This window comes from Homo sapiens, chromosome 3, assembly GCF_000001405.40.
Source record: "Homo sapiens chromosome 3, GRCh38.p14 Primary Assembly".
Taxonomy (NCBI): Eukaryota; Metazoa; Chordata; class Mammalia; order Primates; family Hominidae; genus Homo; species Homo sapiens.
Genome location: NC_000003.12, coordinates 15,558,472 through 15,575,551, shown reverse-complemented (window position 1 = coordinate 15,575,551; position 17,080 = coordinate 15,558,472). Strand labels below are relative to the sequence as shown.

General features: G+C 40.1%; 1 protein-coding gene across 5 annotated transcripts in view; it reads left to right on the top strand.

Annotated features, from left to right (window-relative positions):
* The window catches only part of HACL1 (2-hydroxyacyl-CoA lyase 1), a 40,871-nt gene extending 26,018 nt beyond the window's left edge, over positions 1-14,853 (top strand). For 3 of the 5 annotated variants that reach the window (NM_001284413.2, NM_001284416.2, NM_012260.4), the window contains 8 exons: positions 470-575; positions 2,310-2,393; positions 3,783-3,884; positions 6,966-7,120; positions 7,550-7,708; positions 10,894-11,001; positions 12,008-12,194; positions 14,655-14,853. In NM_001284413.2, the coding sequence (NP_001271342.1) occupies positions 470-575; positions 2,310-2,393; positions 3,783-3,884; positions 6,966-7,120; positions 7,550-7,708; positions 10,894-11,001; positions 12,008-12,194; positions 14,655-14,687 (934 nt within the window). In that variant the 3' untranslated portion in view covers positions 14,688-14,853. The remainder of the gene's footprint in view (positions 1-469; positions 576-2,309; positions 2,394-3,782; positions 3,885-6,965; positions 7,121-7,549; positions 7,709-10,893; positions 11,002-12,007; positions 12,195-14,654) is intronic. The other 2 variants (NR_104315.2, NM_001284415.2) reach the window with 2 other exon arrangements.
* Positions 14,854-17,080: the final 2,227 nt, after the last annotated feature.

Below are 17,080 nucleotides of genomic sequence, written 5' to 3'. Positions count from 1 at the left end.
AATAAAAAAAGTGTATGAGACAGTATTATAGTATATAAGCTCAACTATGTAAAAATGTATTTGCGTAGAAAACAAAAGTAGATGAAAATTTGCCAGTATATTCATAATAGTTTATAAGTTGAAAGTATTATGGGGTGATTTTGTTTTTTGCCTTATACTTTTTCTGTTTTTTTTCTGGATTGCCTACAGTGTACTTGTACTAATTTTTCTAATTATAAAAAAGTAATAAAAGAGTGTAGATACAGCTTATGGTAATGTTTTTTAACTTAATTTATATTTTAGATAACTATTTATATAGAATGGTTTTATAAATTATTTTAGCTTGAAAGATCAAATATACCCTAGAAGCTGATTCTGAAGTCTGATGTAAGCTCCAAATGATTTAGACTTTTCAAATACTTCAGAGATGAATTTTCGAATAATTCAAATAAGAAATGTAGTTATACTTTCATATCAATTTTTTTAATAGGGCTTTGCAATTTGCTGATGTAATTGTGTTATTTGGTGCCAGACTAAATTGGATTTTACATTTTGGACTGCCTCCAAGATATCAGCCAGATGTGAAGTTTATCCAGGTACTTAGAGAGGAGGAACTTAAAATCAGAAATGTCTATGTTCATTATTCTCCCTATCAGCCGTAATCAGCTCTGTTATCTTCTTGATTACTATTAAAAAAACTGTTCTCTTTTTACACAAGTAGAATTTTACAAATTGTCTAACATAATTATAGGTACCAAAATAAGCTTCCTTTTCTAGCCTATGAAATATAGTGTGCCACTTCTAGCCAGAAAACCTTTCAAAATCAAGTTTCAAATAGTTTAGAAAGCATAATTTGTCTTTTATTCACAATTCAAGTATATTTAAAGGTAGAGAAAAGAGACTTAAGTAGGATGGTAGACTAGAACAAAACATTTGGCCTTGTTAGGGAGTGAGGTTTTCTTTCAGATGCCAAAACTTTCACCCTTCCAATGGGAATTTCTAAATGACACTGTTTTACAAGTCATTAAACAGCATCCGGAATGTATTCTGACCTGTCTTTGATGATTCTTGTATCATTATGACCCACCTTATAAGCCATTTTCTTTACTGGTGTGGAAAGTACTACCTGCATAGTGGTGTGCAAACCTTTTTGCCCTACACGGATTCGCCCCATTTTACTTGATGTTTTTGCTTGGTTGTTTTTGAGACAGCATCTTGGCTCTGTCACCCAGGCAGGAGTGCAGTGGCACGATAATGGCTCACTTCAGTCTCAACCTCTCGAGCTTAAGTGATCCTCCTGCCTCAGCTTCCTGACATGCTGGGACTATAGACGCGTACAACAATGCCTGGCTAATTTTAATTTTTTTGTAAAGACAAAGTCTCGCCATGTTGCCCAGGCTGGTCTCAGCAATTCTCCTGGCCTCAAGCAATTCTCCTACCTCAGCCTCCCAAAATGCCAGATTACAGACTTGAGCCACTGTGCTTGGGTTGCTTGATGTTTGATGAGCCAGCTACAGTTGCCCTTTTCCCAGTCTACCTTTTACTTCTTAAGGAGTCAACTTCTAATTGCTCCTTTCCCAGCTGAGCCAGTTGAGAACTAAAACTGCAGACAAACAAGACAGAGTTACCTGGAAGATGCCAATACCTCTTGATTGCCCTCTTGATTATAGAATGAGATACATCCCCTTTGGGGTGGCTAAAGTATTCCTCCTTGCAGAAGCCATCATTTGTCCATGGCCATCCAGACATGGAACTTCTGAGTAAATGGAGAAGTAATCGTGCCATGTTCTTGGAATTGTTCTCTAAATGTGGTTCCCTGGGCCAGGCGCATCAGCACCACCTGCGAAACCTGTTAGAAATGCACATTTCTGGACCCTACGCCAGACCTATTAAAATAAAAAACTCTGAGGTAGACTCCTACAGTTTATGGTTTATCAAGCCCAGAATATACCAGGTGACTCTGATATATGCTTATATTTGAGAACCCACACTCTAGATAGGAATTCCAAATGTAATTCAATAGAACTTACTGATTAGATGCAAAACTATAATTGATCAGGTCAAATGCATTCCCTATGGGTATAATGAAGCAATACCAAAATTCCATAGAGTAGATTTTTAAATGAGGGAAGATAATGAGGCTCTCTATACTAGCTATGATACTAATATAGTTCTATGGACTTTTACTTTTTTTATTAAGGAACTTCTGAATATCAAATCTTCTTTATCATGTGTTCTATATACACAGTTCATTTATTCAATCGTAATTGCCTTCTTACATATTTTTCAGAATAAACATGGGTTGTTCTTTAGCCTTGTCTCTTTTTTAGGTTGATATCTGTGCAGAAGAATTGGGGAATAATGTAAAGCCCGCTGTTACTTTGCTAGGAAACATACATGCTGTCACTAAGCAGGTGAGAACTTTTGTTTTAGTTTATGTGGAGTGCTTATTAGGGAATAGTCAATTCTTGAAAATGTTTTAATCTTGATTCACTTGGTAACGGGTCTACTATTCATATCTGTTTTAAACAAAATGTATGATTGAAAACTATTCTTAAATACAACTTTGGAACTTGTTAAGTCCAACTTCTGGTACATAGCTCATTTTTATGTAAGTTAAGCATTTTTGGAAGATGATTGAAAATGTAACATCTTTCAGTAGGCAAACAGTAATATACTAAATTTACTAATTTATTAAATAGCATCCAGCTATCTGAAAAAGTATACCTTCCAAAGGAACTGAACTTACTGCCAAGAAGTGGCAAGAATGGCTTAGCACTGGAAAAATCTAAAAGTATTTCTTTAGGTAAAAAAGAGCTTTTTACTCTTCAAACTAATCAGTGACTTTTCCACAGGTTGTTATTATTTGTACATAGTTTGTACATTTCACTGTGACAGGAGATAAAATATAGTCACATTTATCACTTGATTTTGGATGATACAATTTGGTATTGTTGTCATGATTACACAATATAGGATATAATCTTGAATCACATATTAAATCACTCTGGAGCATTTGGTCTGTACCATAGGAGTCCGTGGTTATTTGTTGGTTTTCCTGCAAGAGTTCTGTGGAAGGAGTGGTTTTCCTTCCAGTGTCAAAGACCGAGGAGGGTTTCAGAGCCCTTGCTTGAGGTGTGGAGGAGGTAGCACTCCAGTCTGTCCTATGGGCATCCCAGCATCTGGCAGAAACCCACACTGACCAAACAAAAGCCTTCCATGTTACCCATTGATTTTCTATCAGGTGTTAGCATCTGGCAGACACCCACACTGACCAAACAAAAGCCTTCCATGTTTCCCATTGATTCTATCAGGTGTTTACTAACTGGAAGAAAAAAAGAGTCTGAGTAATGTGAAGGGTAGTATGGCCGTATAGTCTTCTTTAAGAAGATACTTCCGTGTTAATATGATTTAAATTTATTTTTAAAAAGCAGACTGGGCATGGTGGCTCATCCCTATAATCCCAGCACTTTGGGAGGCCGAGACAGGTAGATCACCTGAGGTCAGGAGTTCGAGACCAGCCTGGCCAACATGGTGAAACTTCGTCTCTACTAAAAATACAAAAATTAGCTGAGCATGGTGGCAGGCACCTGTACTCCCAGCTACTCAGGAGGTTGAGGCAGAAGAATTGCTTGAACCTGGGAGACAGAGGTTGCAGTGAGCTGAGATTGCGCCACTGCACTCCAGCCTGGGTGACAGAACGAGACTTCGTCTCAAAAAAAAAAAAAAAAAAAAAAAAAAAAGAAAAAAAAGGCAAAGAAAAAGTTTATGTGTTTGTGTGTGTGTGTTTTTTTTTTTTTAAGCTTTTAGAGGAACTTGATAAAACACCATGGCAGTATCCTCCAGAGAGCAAGTGGTGGAAAACTCTGAGAGAAAAAATGAAGAGCAATGAAGCTGCATCCAAGGTAAAATCGGACCTACTGACGCTCAATAACAGGTCAGGCTCATGATTCAGTTACTTCTGCCGTAATGTGACATGTGCATTCCTAAAAATCACCTTGATGTGCAAAATTGTGCAGTGAAAACCCCAGGTCTCATGGAAAAAGGGATTTAGTGGCACAACTCTCAAAAACTTTGTGTAACATAAAAATAAGATAAGAACCTAATGTTTTAAACGTGTTAAATGGTTAAGAAATATATGCCAATGAATATAGCATTTTACCTTGAAAAAGACCTGAAGTTTCTGAAAGGTTGTAGCTTGTGAGTTACTGTGAGCTGGTGGAAGGAAGGTGATTGGACATTGGATAGAAAGTCATAATAGTGGAAGTGGATGGGTGTGCCTTCAGTTTGATGGTGGCATAGAACATCACAATTAAACACCTGTAATCCTAGTGCTTTAGGAGGCCAAGGCAGTAAGATCAATTGAGGCCTGGAGTTTGAGACCAACCTGGGCATAGCAAGACCTTGTCTCTACAAAAAAAAAAAGAAAAGCCAGATGTGGTGGCACACACCTGTTGTCTTGTCTCCTCAGGAGGCTGAGGTTGGAGGATTGCTTGACTCTAGGAGTTGAGGTGGCAGTGCAGTAGTAGATCATGCCACTGCACTCAAGCCTGGGTGACAGAGTGAGAACCTGTCTCTAAAAGAAAAACAAATTAACTATTAAGTGGTTTTTTTTTTTTTGAATCCTTAAATCTTGGGTTGAGATGTTTTTCTGCTTTTAAGATATAGGTCCTTCAGGGCGTGCTATTATAATAGCTGTTTCATAAAAATTGAAATTTTGATCCAATGTATAGCCTTCTTTTTTATTTAACATTTTTATCACTGCTGGAAATTTTTTTGCAGCGCTCTCATTTGCACTCTTGGCTTTGCCTGGTAGCTAAGGTTTTGGAAATTGTAGTGATGATACTAGAAACCATCAAACTGTCTACTACTAGCACTAAAATGAGTCAGTGCTGCAGGATTTGGCGATTTCTAGTAAAGTGTGTGTGTGTGTGTGTGCATGTGTGTGTATTGTGCTTTCCCTATGTGAGAAAGGTGGTTTTTTTTTATTGTTTTGTGTATTCATATGTATCTTTGTTCAGCTGGGTGCAGTTTTCTGTGTCTTATGCGTGATTCCACCAGTGTTTCTTACTGGTGGAATCACGCATAAGCAAATATAAAATTTGAGTTATGCTCACTTGGTTCCCTAATATATCAATTGTCTTAGAATAAATTCACATTTTCGCATCAAACATTATAGCAGAATTGATTGTACATGAATCTGTCTTACATTGGAATTTTTTTTTTTTTTGGGGACAGAGTCTCACTCTGTCGCCAGGCTAGAGGGCTGGAGTGCAATGGCGTGATCTTGGCTCACTGCAACCTCTGCCTCGCAGGTTTAAGCAATTCTCCTGCATCAGCCTCCCAAGTAGCTGGGACTACAGACGTGTGCCACCACGCCCAGCTAATTTTTGTATTTTTGGTAGAGATGGAGTTTCACCATGTTGGCCAGGATGGTCTTGATCTCTTGACCTCGTGATCCGCCCGCCTTGGCCTCCCAAAGTGCTGGGATTACAGGCATGAGCCACCGTGCCTGGCCTACATTAGAATTTTAATCAATGACTGTTTCTATCTGGAGCCAGTCTCAATTTTTTTTTTTTTTTGAGATGGAGTTTCACTCTTGTTGCCCAGGCTGGAGTGCAGTGGCGCGATCTCAGCTCACTGCAACCTCTGCCTTCCAGTTTCAAGCAATTCTCCTGCCTCAGCCTCCCGAGTAGCTGGGATTACAGGTAGCTGGCACCATGCCTGGCTACTTTTTTTTTTTTTCTTTTTTGAGATGGAGTCTTGCTTTTGTTGCCCAGGCTGGAGTGCAATGACACGAGCTTGGCTCACCGCAACCTCCGCCTCCTGGGTTCATGCAATTCTCCTGCCTCAGCATCCCGAGTAGCTGGATTACAGGCATGTGCCACCATGCCTGACTAATTTTGTATTTTTAATAGAGACAGAGCTTCTCCATGTTGGTCAGGCTGGTCTCGAACTCCCGACCTCAGGTGACCTGCCCACCTCGGCCTCCCAAAGTGCTGGGATTACAGGCGTGAGCCACCGCACCCAGCCAATTTTTGTATTTTTTTTAGTAGAGACAGGATTTCACCATGTTGGCCAGGATGATCTCGAACTCCTAACCTCGTGATCCGCCCGCCTTGGCCTCCCAAAGTGCTGGGATTACAGGCGTGAGCTACCATGCCTGGCCACCAGTCTCAATTTTATTTCCTGAGTCATATCATGACTAATCTTTTCTTTCGCATAGGAACGATGTTGGTTTAAGATAGAAGGGACTTGCTTCTCTTCTTTAGTGCAGGAGTATAGGAGGGTCCCTCTTTACCTTGTGTATAATCTCCAGCAGAACAAAGTAGCATAGGTGAAGAGGCAGTCCTGGGGCCAGATGGGACTGTTGCTGCTAAAGCTCTCTATGGCTTTTTCTCAGCCCTGAAAGGCATGTGGCTAGACAAAGGCGTTTACCTTGCTGTTTTTCTCTCCATTCAGGGACTCTTTAGAATAGTGGGGGTAAGATAGCTCCTTTAACTCTTAAGTGTGTTGGGGGAAAAACTAGATTTTCAGATTGTATTCTAAAATTGTGACATTTTAAGTTTAGGGTCATAGTTCAGATGAAAATATTCTGGAATAAATTTCACTTTTTCTAAGGCACCGTTTTCCTAAGAGTGCTCAAATAAGAACGTTTAGTTTTATGTAACCCAGTGCTTCTCAGCTGTCTTTACTGTAGGACTTCTCAATGTCTTTAATACACTCCTGTGCATTGCAGATCTCCAAGAGGCGGGATATTCCCGAGCTTATTTAATTGTGTTCCCAACTGGGACTGTGGTACACATGTCCCCCAGGGCTGTTCACAGGTCAGCCAACTTCTCAGAGTGGCCATTTTATAGCCATTTGGAAACCTTGTAGCTTGTAGTTGTTGCGTATTTCCAAATAAGTTTGATAGCATCTTATTAACATTGGTTATTTTCATTGTATCCCAATTTAATTTGATTATATTCCCATCTACTTTTCAGGAACTAGCTTCTAAAAAATCCCTGCCTATGAATTATTACACAGTATTCTACCATGTTCAAGAACAACTACCTAGAGACTGTTTCGTGGTAAGTGAAGGAGCAAATACTATGGACATTGGACGGACTGTGCTTCAGAACTACCTTCCTCGTCACAGGTAAGACTTCTAAAGAAGAAAGAAGTCGTAATTCATTATAATGTGTTTAATATGAAACTGTAATAGTGCAGATTAAGAAGACGTTTGAGAATTAATACATGTTTAGTATGTAAGGACATATTTCATAAAAGTATCCTTAGGTGAGGTTTTGTAGAGTTTTTATGCTTGATGTGTTCTTGGTATCATGATAATTGTTTACTTAGTATTCTAGGAATATGTTTATAGTCTTCCAAGCAAACATGGGTGGCTTTTTTCTATCCTTGACAAATTAGTTCCTAGCAGTCTAAAGATTTTATATTGAAGAAAGAGAATGTTTTTATGGTTCTTCATTTTTCCATCAACCATGTAAATATGACTAGAAGGTTTGTGCCAATCCCATCCTCTATGACATGCCCCAGAGGGTTTCATTTTAACTTTGTTCTCCAACAGGCTTGATGCTGGTACTTTCGGAACAATGGGAGTTGGTTTGGGATTTGCTATTGCAGCTGCCGTGGTGGCTAAAGATAGAAGCCCTGGGCAATGGATCATCTGTGTGGAAGGAGACAGTGCATTTGGGTTTTCTGGCATGGAGGTAGAAACCATCTGCAGGTAAAACATCATCCTGAATCAGAGCATTTGATTCTCTAGAATATGAAAAATGACACACAAGACCCAGTCACCTGACAAATACTTATGAAGCGTTCACCAGGTGCCCTGTGCACAGCACTGTGTTCTGTCCTGAGGATGCTAGTGGCAGTAACCCACGGTCTTTCTCTTCCAGAACCGTATCTTTCTGGCCTCCTCACTGTATGGTAAAAACCTGTAAAACTGTGGGGAGTGGTTTTGAGGTCACTGAGAAAAAAATGTTGGGGACTGAAAGAAGCTTGTTTCCTGTGGGAAATAGCAAGTGTGGTGGTTGAAGAGCATGGCTTCTGCCAGTCATGGTGGCTCACACCTGTAATCCCAGCCCTTTGGGAGGCCAAGGCAGGCAGATCACTTTAGGTCAGGAGTTCAAGACCAGCCTGGCCAAAATGGTGAAATCCCATCTCTACTAAATATACAAAAAAAAAAAAAAATTAGCCAGACGCAGTGATGCATGCCTGTAATCCCAGCTACTCGGGAGGCTGAAGCAGAAGAGTTGCTTGAACTGGGAAGTGGAGGTTGCAGTGAGCTGAAATCGCACCACTGCACTCTAGCCTGGGTGACAGAGCGAGACTCCATCTCAAAAAAAAAAAAAAAAAAAAAAGGCAGCATGGCTTGTGGGACAAATGGCCTGGATTTAAATACTGGTTCTATCAAGTCAGAGCCATGTGACTTTAAGTCACTTAACCAAGGCTGGGCGTGGTAGCTCATGCCCGTAATCCCAACACTTTGGGTGGCTGAGGTGGGCAGATCACCTGAGGTCAGGAGTTAGAGACCAGTCTGGCCAGCATGGTAAAACCCCATCTCTACTAAAAATACAAAAAATAGCCAGATGTGGTGGTGCATGCCTATAGTCCCAGCTATTTGGGAGGCTGAAGGCAGGAGAATCGCTTGAACCTGGGAGGTGTAGTTTGCAGTGAGCCAAGATCGCACCACTGCACTCTAGCCTGGGCGACAGAGCAAGACTCCATCGCAAAAAAAAAAAAAAAAAAAAAGTCACTTAACCAAGCCTCAGTCTCCTCTCTTCTAAAGCAGGAATAGTATCCTTTAGGCAGAAATTCCTTGAAAAAAAAAAAGTAGGAATAGTAATAGTTCCTACCTTAGAAAGATGATTATGAAAAACAAATGAGGTAATCCAAGCAGTTTTTTTTTTTCAAGATGGGGTCTTGCTTTGTCACCCAGACTGGAGTGGAATGGCGCAACTGCGGCTCACCGCAGCGTCAACCACCCAAGTTCAACGGATCCTGCCTCCTTAGCCTTCTGAGTAGCTGGGATCACAGGCATGCACCACCATGCCCAGCTAATTTTTTGTATTTTTTTGTAGAGACAGGGCTTTGCCATATTGGCCACACTGGTCTCAAATTTCTAAGCTCAAGCAATCCACCCGCCTTGGCCTCTCTAAGTGCTAGAATTACAGGTGTGAGCCACCATGCTTGGCCCCAGCTAAATTCTGAGGTGATGCTCAGTGAACATGAGTCATTTGGATCATGTGTGTAGTTATGAGAATTCATGGAGAAACTCATGAATTGTAGATCCTCACTATAGAAGGATGGGGGTTTTATTTTTCCAGCTATATTTAAACTGTAGTAAAACCATTCTATTCTTAGCCAGGGCTCTTATTAGGGCTTTTGTGAATCATGTTTTGGGGTTGGCAAAGCTTTGGTAGATAAAACGTTCAAGATTTGGGAAGGTATAGTTGTCCCTCTATATCAGTGGGGGATTGGTTCCAGGACCTTCCTCAAATACCAAAATCCAAGGATGCTCAAGTAAGTCCCTGATATAAAATTGTGCAGTATTTGCAAATAACCTATGCATACCCCCCATATATTTTTAATGATGTCTAGATTACTTTAAAATACTGAATACAATATGAATGCTATATAAATAATTGTTGTGCTGTATTGCTTAGGGAATAATGACAAGAACAAAGTCTGTGCATGTTGAGTACAGATCCAATTTTTTTTCCCAAATATTTTTGACCCGCAATTGGTTAAATCCACGGATGCAGAACTCAGATAATGAGGTCTGACTGTATGTGTCTGTTAGAGTGTCTTTATTGACAACCAAGTGATATACACAAAAAAGATGACTTATGGGGAAGTTAGCCTTTTAGTGGATAATGACTCCTTTTGAGCATGGAGAGCAAATAATTACCACAGTCCTGTTATTTAACAGTATGCAGTTTAGTTTTGTTTTTACCACTTGCCCTTGGAAATTATGTTAGAAAATAAAACCTACATTCTTTTCAGTCAATAACATTTAATCAACCTTTTCTTTTTTGTCTTTGCTATACTGTTTAGCACACTGTTAAATACTCCTTTTCTGTACTGACTACACCATGTAATGTGTTTCTGATTATGTGTGTGGTAGTTTGAGTGCAGATTGTGTGTGCTAGTTACTTGTGTATCTTCCACAGCATCTAGCAAGAGCTGGGTGTCTGTGGGGAGCTCAGTAAATAGAAAGGTACGTTTCAAACACTGTTCCTAGGAACCAACTAGAAGTGGTACTTTAGAGAGTATTAAATAGGGAAGGTGTTCTTCATATACCATCTAGACTTATGAAAACCCAGATTCAGAAAAGCTCAGTGATTTGTCTGAGGTTCATAGCTAATAGCTAAAGGACTATCAACTTTTTTTTTTTTTTTCTGAGATGGAGTCTTGCTCTGTTACCCAGGCTGGAGTGCAGTGGTGTGATCTCTGCTCACTGCAACCTCCGCCTCCCGGGTTCAAGCGATTCTTCTGCCTCAGCCTCCCGAGTAGCTGGGACTACAGGCACATGCCACCATGCACAGCTAATTTTTGTATTTTTAGTAGAGACGGGGTTTCACCATATTGGCCAGGCTTGTCTTGAACTCCTGACCTTGTGATCCGCCCACCTCAGCCTCCCAAAGTGCTGGGATTACAGGCATGAGCCATCATGCCCAGCCAGGACTAACAACTCTTAATCTTGCATTCTTTCTGCCTTTCCATGATGTTTCTGTTAATTATTTGATATTCTTTCTTAGGATAATAAATGCTTGATTTTTAGTCTTCCTCTAATAATACAAAAAGCTTATAGGAAACTATTCATTTTTAAGTTAAAGTTTCAACCCAAAGAAAAGAAATTACTTTAAAATGAAGAATGATTTCCTTCATATTTTACTCTCACTTTAGGTACAACTTGCCAATCATACTGTTGGTAGTGAATAACAATGGAATTTACCAAGGTTTTGATACAGATACTTGGAAAGAAATGTTAAAATTTCAAGATGCTACTGCAGTGTAAGTAACCAAGACCAATGTCTGTTTACTTTCTCTTTCCCGTTTTAATCTCTTTTTAAAAAGTCTTCTATATTGGCAGTAATGTGCCTACATGGTATGAGTATTGTCCGTTTCGATTGTCAGCCCTTCTAAAGAGAAGGAATCCTGTCTTAGTTCCTCTTTGCACAAATATCCATGATTAGGTGCTTCAGTAAATAATCAGGGAGCCACTGAAGACTCAGATAAATGAGTGTGATGTCTGAGCCTTGTTAATGAAAAGGCTTATTGCAAAATGCTCCCTGGACTGGGAGCAATAGTAGGACTACTGATTCCTGTTACACCATTTGGAAATGTGGATGTTTACGTATTATTTGTGTTCCAGAGGTCTACCTTCCTTTCACCACTTAGCTAAATCTTGATCATCTGATGGCAGAGCCAGATTAAGACAGTATTGTAGCTGGCCGTAGAATGTGAGACAGATATGAATTTGTGAGCCAGCCTTGGGGTGGAACAGGGTATGGGTGTGTCTATTTATGCCTCACTAACTTTATTTGTTGTTTTCTTATTATTTGTTGTTTTGCAGTAATCTTTTTTTTTCATGTTTTTCTTCTGGATTCATAATAGTTGATAATGTAGCCTGTGCTGTCTAGTATAGTAGCCACTAGGCATGCTGCAACTGTTGCAAATTAGATTTAAATTACTTCAAATTAAATGAAATTAAAAATTTAGTTCCTCAGTTTAGTCACATTTCAAGTGCTCACAGCAACAGGTAGATAGTGGCTACTGTCTTGGATGGCACAGGTTTAAAACATTTCTATCATCACAGAAAGTTCTACTGGACATTGCTATATAGACAATTATAAATATAGGAAAAACTCAGTGTACTGGCATCTCAGCTTAAGTGTTGAAGATAAAAGTATGCCTTTGAGTTCAGCTGAAATTTTTTTAATGAAGTATTTCAGAGAATGACTTTTTTTCTACAAGGTTTAAGATTTAAATTTCATTGACTCATGACCTTGTTTTTCAGGGTCCCTCCAATGTGTTTGCTGCCAAATTCACATTATGAGCAAGTCATGACTGCATTTGGAGGCAAAGGGTATTTTGTACAAACACCAGAAGAACTCCAAAAATCCCTGAGGCAGAGCCTAGCAGACACAACTAAACCTTCTCTTATCAACATCATGATTGAGCCACAAGCCACACGGAAGGCCCAGGTAAATACAGTTGCTAAGCAGAAAGCAAGAAATGCATCTGCTTCCCCTATCCCCCTCCAAAAAGTATCTACCAAACAGAACACCCTCTATCATCCACAGAGGTCTTTCTAAACCATTTCTGAGTTTGGCAGTTTCATGTACTTGTTCAGTGAATATTGAGATATGTGTTAGGTGCTACGAATAGCATGGTGAGCCAAACCAGGCTCGGTCCTCACGACTTCATGGAGCTTTTGTAGTCTGGTAGGGGAGAGGGACAGTCTGGTAACCTCACAACTGAACACACTATGACAGAGTGAAGCAATTACTTGGAAGGAAAGGAATCCAGTTCTGAGCAAACGTACCACAAAGGAATCAGATTTATGTTGGGGTTACAGGGAAGGCTTCTCAGAGGAGGTGATTCTTAAACGGAGATCAGAAGGATAAGCAGAGACTAACTCGGCAAAGGGGAGAGGGAAGAGATGTGCAACAGGCTCTGTAGCAAGAGGAAAGAGGAAGCATGGCAAGTCTGAGGAAGAGGGAGATGCAACTGTAATACAAGGATTTGTGCAGGTACATTCAAAATTAGTTACTTTGACCTCCAGGGTGAAACTGCAGTGTTGATTACAGCAGTAAAGTAAATGACAAAGTTCATAGCATGAGCCTCTCCTATCCCAGAGTAAGTTGCATTTCATACTTAATTTTCTACTGCCATCCTGGTTCTGCCACTTGCCGCCTCATATAACCTGTCTTCCGTGCGAACAGTTTGTGTATCAGCCACTCTTATCAGAGCAGATATTTTTTTCAAGTACTTTCTGTCTTGGTTCTTATATATATGGAATCTCTTTCTTTTGTGAACAAAGCGGTGGATGAATGGGTAAACAGATACCTGGATAATCAATGAAATATAAATTAACTAATTTAGACACTAAAATATATAGAATTCTATTGAAATTCTATTTGTGTAAAAACAGATTTCAATGACTTTGGCATTTACTTCCTAGCAGAGAGAGGAGATACTCAAGAAACCTAGTGATGAGGAAGATGAATGCAGAAAAACTAGCCTAGTAAGCTGAAGGGCAGGGGGCATTAGCAGGGATTTCTGTGGAGCAAGCAGGCAGACTGTTTTAAGGGAGGGTCTGCCACTTTCAGAATCTATCTGTACTCCTGTGGGTTTGTGGATTGCCTTTTCTTTTTTTAAGTTCTATTTAAAATGATTTATGCTAGTCAGACACTCAATAGACAGGCTTTTTCATCTCATGCCACTTTATGGATTTATAACTAGGTTTATACTTTCCAGTGACTGGGATGTTAGTTTGGTAACCAAAAACACCCTCCTCCGGGCATCAGGCCATCAGAGCCCTGGGGAAACTAAAGCCACTGTAAGAAGCTTAATGAATACATATAATCTTGATGGCTGGGCACGGTAATCCCAGCCCTTTGGGATGCCAAGGTGGGCGGATCACTTGAGGCTGAGAGTTTGAGACCTGCCTGGCCAACATGGTGAAACCTGTCTCTACTAAAAATACAAAAATTAACTGGGCATGGTGGTGCATGTCAGTAATCCCTGCTACTCAGGAGGTGGAGGCACGAGAATCACTTGAACCCAGGAGGTGGAGGTTGCAGTGAGCTAAGATTGTGCCACTGCACTCCAATCTGGGTGACAGTGAGACTGTCTCTCAAAATAATAATAATCATCATCATCATCTTGAGACCTATGTTAATCACAGAAAAGCCCTAACAAATTCTGTCATCTCTGCTAGTGAGTTCATGCTATTGATTTGCTTCCAATGATCTGTTCTACAGTTTCTCTATGAATTTTGTTTGGATATTGCTGGATATTGCTGGAGAAATATGAGTTCTCGTCTTCCTCTTTTACAATTCTATGAGGATTATTTTTATATTTCTTACATTTATCACTTTGAAATTATTTATTTTCATTCCAGTGGAATTTACATACATTATACTTTCCAAACTGTTGATTTTTGTCTTTCTGTCCGTCTGCCATTTATCATTGATTCTCAGTGTAGGCTGGCCACTTCCTGCCTCAATATGGGAATGCCTATATCTGTGCCTGTGTCCAGGCCATATGTATAGGATGGTGTTAGTTCTGGAAAAGACTTCCGTGCACAGTTCTTCCTACTCATGTCCTCAGACCTGGGAGCTCAGCCCTCTGTGGGCCTCCTTCATCTCCCTTCTCCTTCTGAGTGTACTTCTGGTTCTTTTAGACTATAGTTTTTGTGCTCTGATTACTGTGAATGGAAGAGGACCCAGAATGCCATTTTAGGTTGTTTTATAGGACACAGCAGGAAGATTCACTAATAGGTTTTTAGGTCCTTTTTGGGAAAAGCACCAGAACAAAGACAAACCTCATTTTGCCACCATTGTGTAGGACTTTTAGGTTTTAGAACAAGTGAAACAATGAGGATATAATTTGAGACAATCATTTCTTTTGACTGAATGTTTGTTGTCTTCTTTTTCTAGGATTTTCATTGGCTGACCCGCTCTAATATGTAAATAAAGACGCCAGTTGGTGGTCTTGAGTTTTCTCTTTCTTGCAAGATGAAATTTTATTTTCCACAGCAAAATTACTCTACTGTTAAAATTGTGCAAAATAAAATAAACATTTAAAATGACATTTTACAGTAAAGGAATTGATTAAAAACAGAAAAAGTTAGAAAAAGTAACAGAAAAAGTTATTCTGCCACAAAACTACTTACAGATGAATGGAGAGCTTTTATTACATAATAGCATTGTAACTGCCTAAATGTTGATTTACATATCAATATTATTTTACTGCTATAGCTTGGATGTTTGTTCCCCAAAACCTCATGTAGAAATTTGATCCCCAGTGGTGGAGGTAGGGCCTAATGGGAGGTGTTTGCGTCATGGGGATGGATCCCTCATGAAATGTTTGATGAGTTCTCAGGGTAATGAGCTCTCCCTCTATTAGTTACCACTAGAGCTGGTTGTTAAAAGGAACCTAGTGGCCAGGCACAGTGACTCATGCCTGTAATACCAGAATTTTGGGAGGTTGAGGTGGGCAGATCACCTGAAGTCGGGAGTTCGAGACCAGCCTGACCAACATGGAGAAACCCCATCTCTACTGAAAATACAGAATTAGCTGGGCATGGTGATACATGCCTGTAGTCCCAGCTACTCAGGAGGCTGGGGCAGGAGAATCGCTTGAACCCAAGAGGTGGAGGTTGTGGTGAGCCGAGATTGCACCACTGCACTCCAGCCTGGGCAACAAGAGCAAAACTCCGTCTCAAAAAAAAAACAAAAACAAAAAGGGAATCTAGCACCCCGCAGGGAACCTAGCACCTTCCCTGCCTCTCTCCTGCTTTCTCTCTCCCTGTGTGGACTCTGCACACACTGGCTCCCCCCATGAGTGGAGGCAGCCTGAGCCCTCATCAGATGCCCAGTCTTGAACCTTCCAGCTATCAGAACTGTGAGCTAAATAAACCTCTTTTTAAAACAAGTTACTTAGCTTTAGTAAATATTCCTTTATAGCAACACTAAACAGACTAAGGCAGTTACCTGTCTTTTAAAAATTGAAGAAAAAAGCTGTAAGAATTGTCTAATGTAGAGACATGTTCAGTTAGTTGAGATACATAGGCTCTTTCTGCTTCCTATTTTATTTTTTGACCACTCAGTACCTAAGTGTCACCAGTATTTAATGGGGCTGGTCCTATATTTTATGAGGTTGTTTTTTTTTTTTCCTGGAAGGAATTTACTGAGCCAAAGGCAAAGTCACATCACACCCAAACTAATAATTTCAGGATATATTTGGACTAGCGACCTAAGTTCAAGCATACCACATTTAGACCAACAGAGTTAACCTTAATCTATAAAGAACTCAGACTAGGGACAGTGGCTCACACCTGTAATCCCAGCACTTTGGGAGGCTGAGGCGGGTGGATCACTTGAGATCAGGAGTTCAAGACTAGCCTGGCCAACATGGTGAAACCCTGTCTCTACTAAAAATAAAAAAGTTAGCTGGGCATGGTGGCACACTCCTGTAATCCCAGTTACTCAGGAAGCTGAGGCTCGAGAATCGCTTGAACCTGGGAGGCAGAGGTTGCAATGAGCCGAGATCCCGCCACTGTTCTTGAGCCTGGGCAACAGACTTAGTGTGACTCCCTTTCAAAAATAAAAAAATAAAAATATAAAGAACTCTTATATATAAGAAAAATATTAAGGTGCCAGTAGAAAAATGGGCAAAGGGCGTGAATGTACAATTCACAGAAAAAATATAAATGCTCAGTAAAAGCATGAATATGAATATGTAAGTTATACTGAAAATCCCTTTTTTTTTCCTGGCCTATCCACTTGGCAAAGAACTTTCTAAATTAATCTGAATTTTGGTGAAGTGGAAGTGAAAATGGAGACTCCTATGCTGCTGATGGAAGTTGAAGTTGGTACATTTCTGTAGAGTAATTCTAGCATTGCAGGTATTTGGAGTCTTAAAAATGTTCATACCGCGTAAGTTTTGACCCCGTGAGCTTTTTTTTTTTTTTTTTCAAGACAGGGTCTTGCTCTGTTGCTCAGGCTAGAGTGCAATGACATGATCACGGCTCACTGCATCTTTGACGTCCTTGGACTCAAGTGATCTCTCCATCTCAGTCTCCCGAGTTGCTAGGACTACAAGCGCATACCACCATGCCTGGCTACTCTTTTATTTTATTTTTGTAGAGACAGGGTCTCACTATGTTGCCTAGGTTGGTCCCAAACTCGTGGGCTCACGCTATCCTCTTGCCTCTGCCTCCCAGAGTGCTGGGAATATAGGCATGAGCCACTGTGCCAGGCCCCATTGAGCTTATTTGGGAATATATCCTGAAGAAATAATAAAATATTTGGTCAAATATTTATATAAAAGGCCATGTAGCGTAGTTTTATTTAGGAACAAT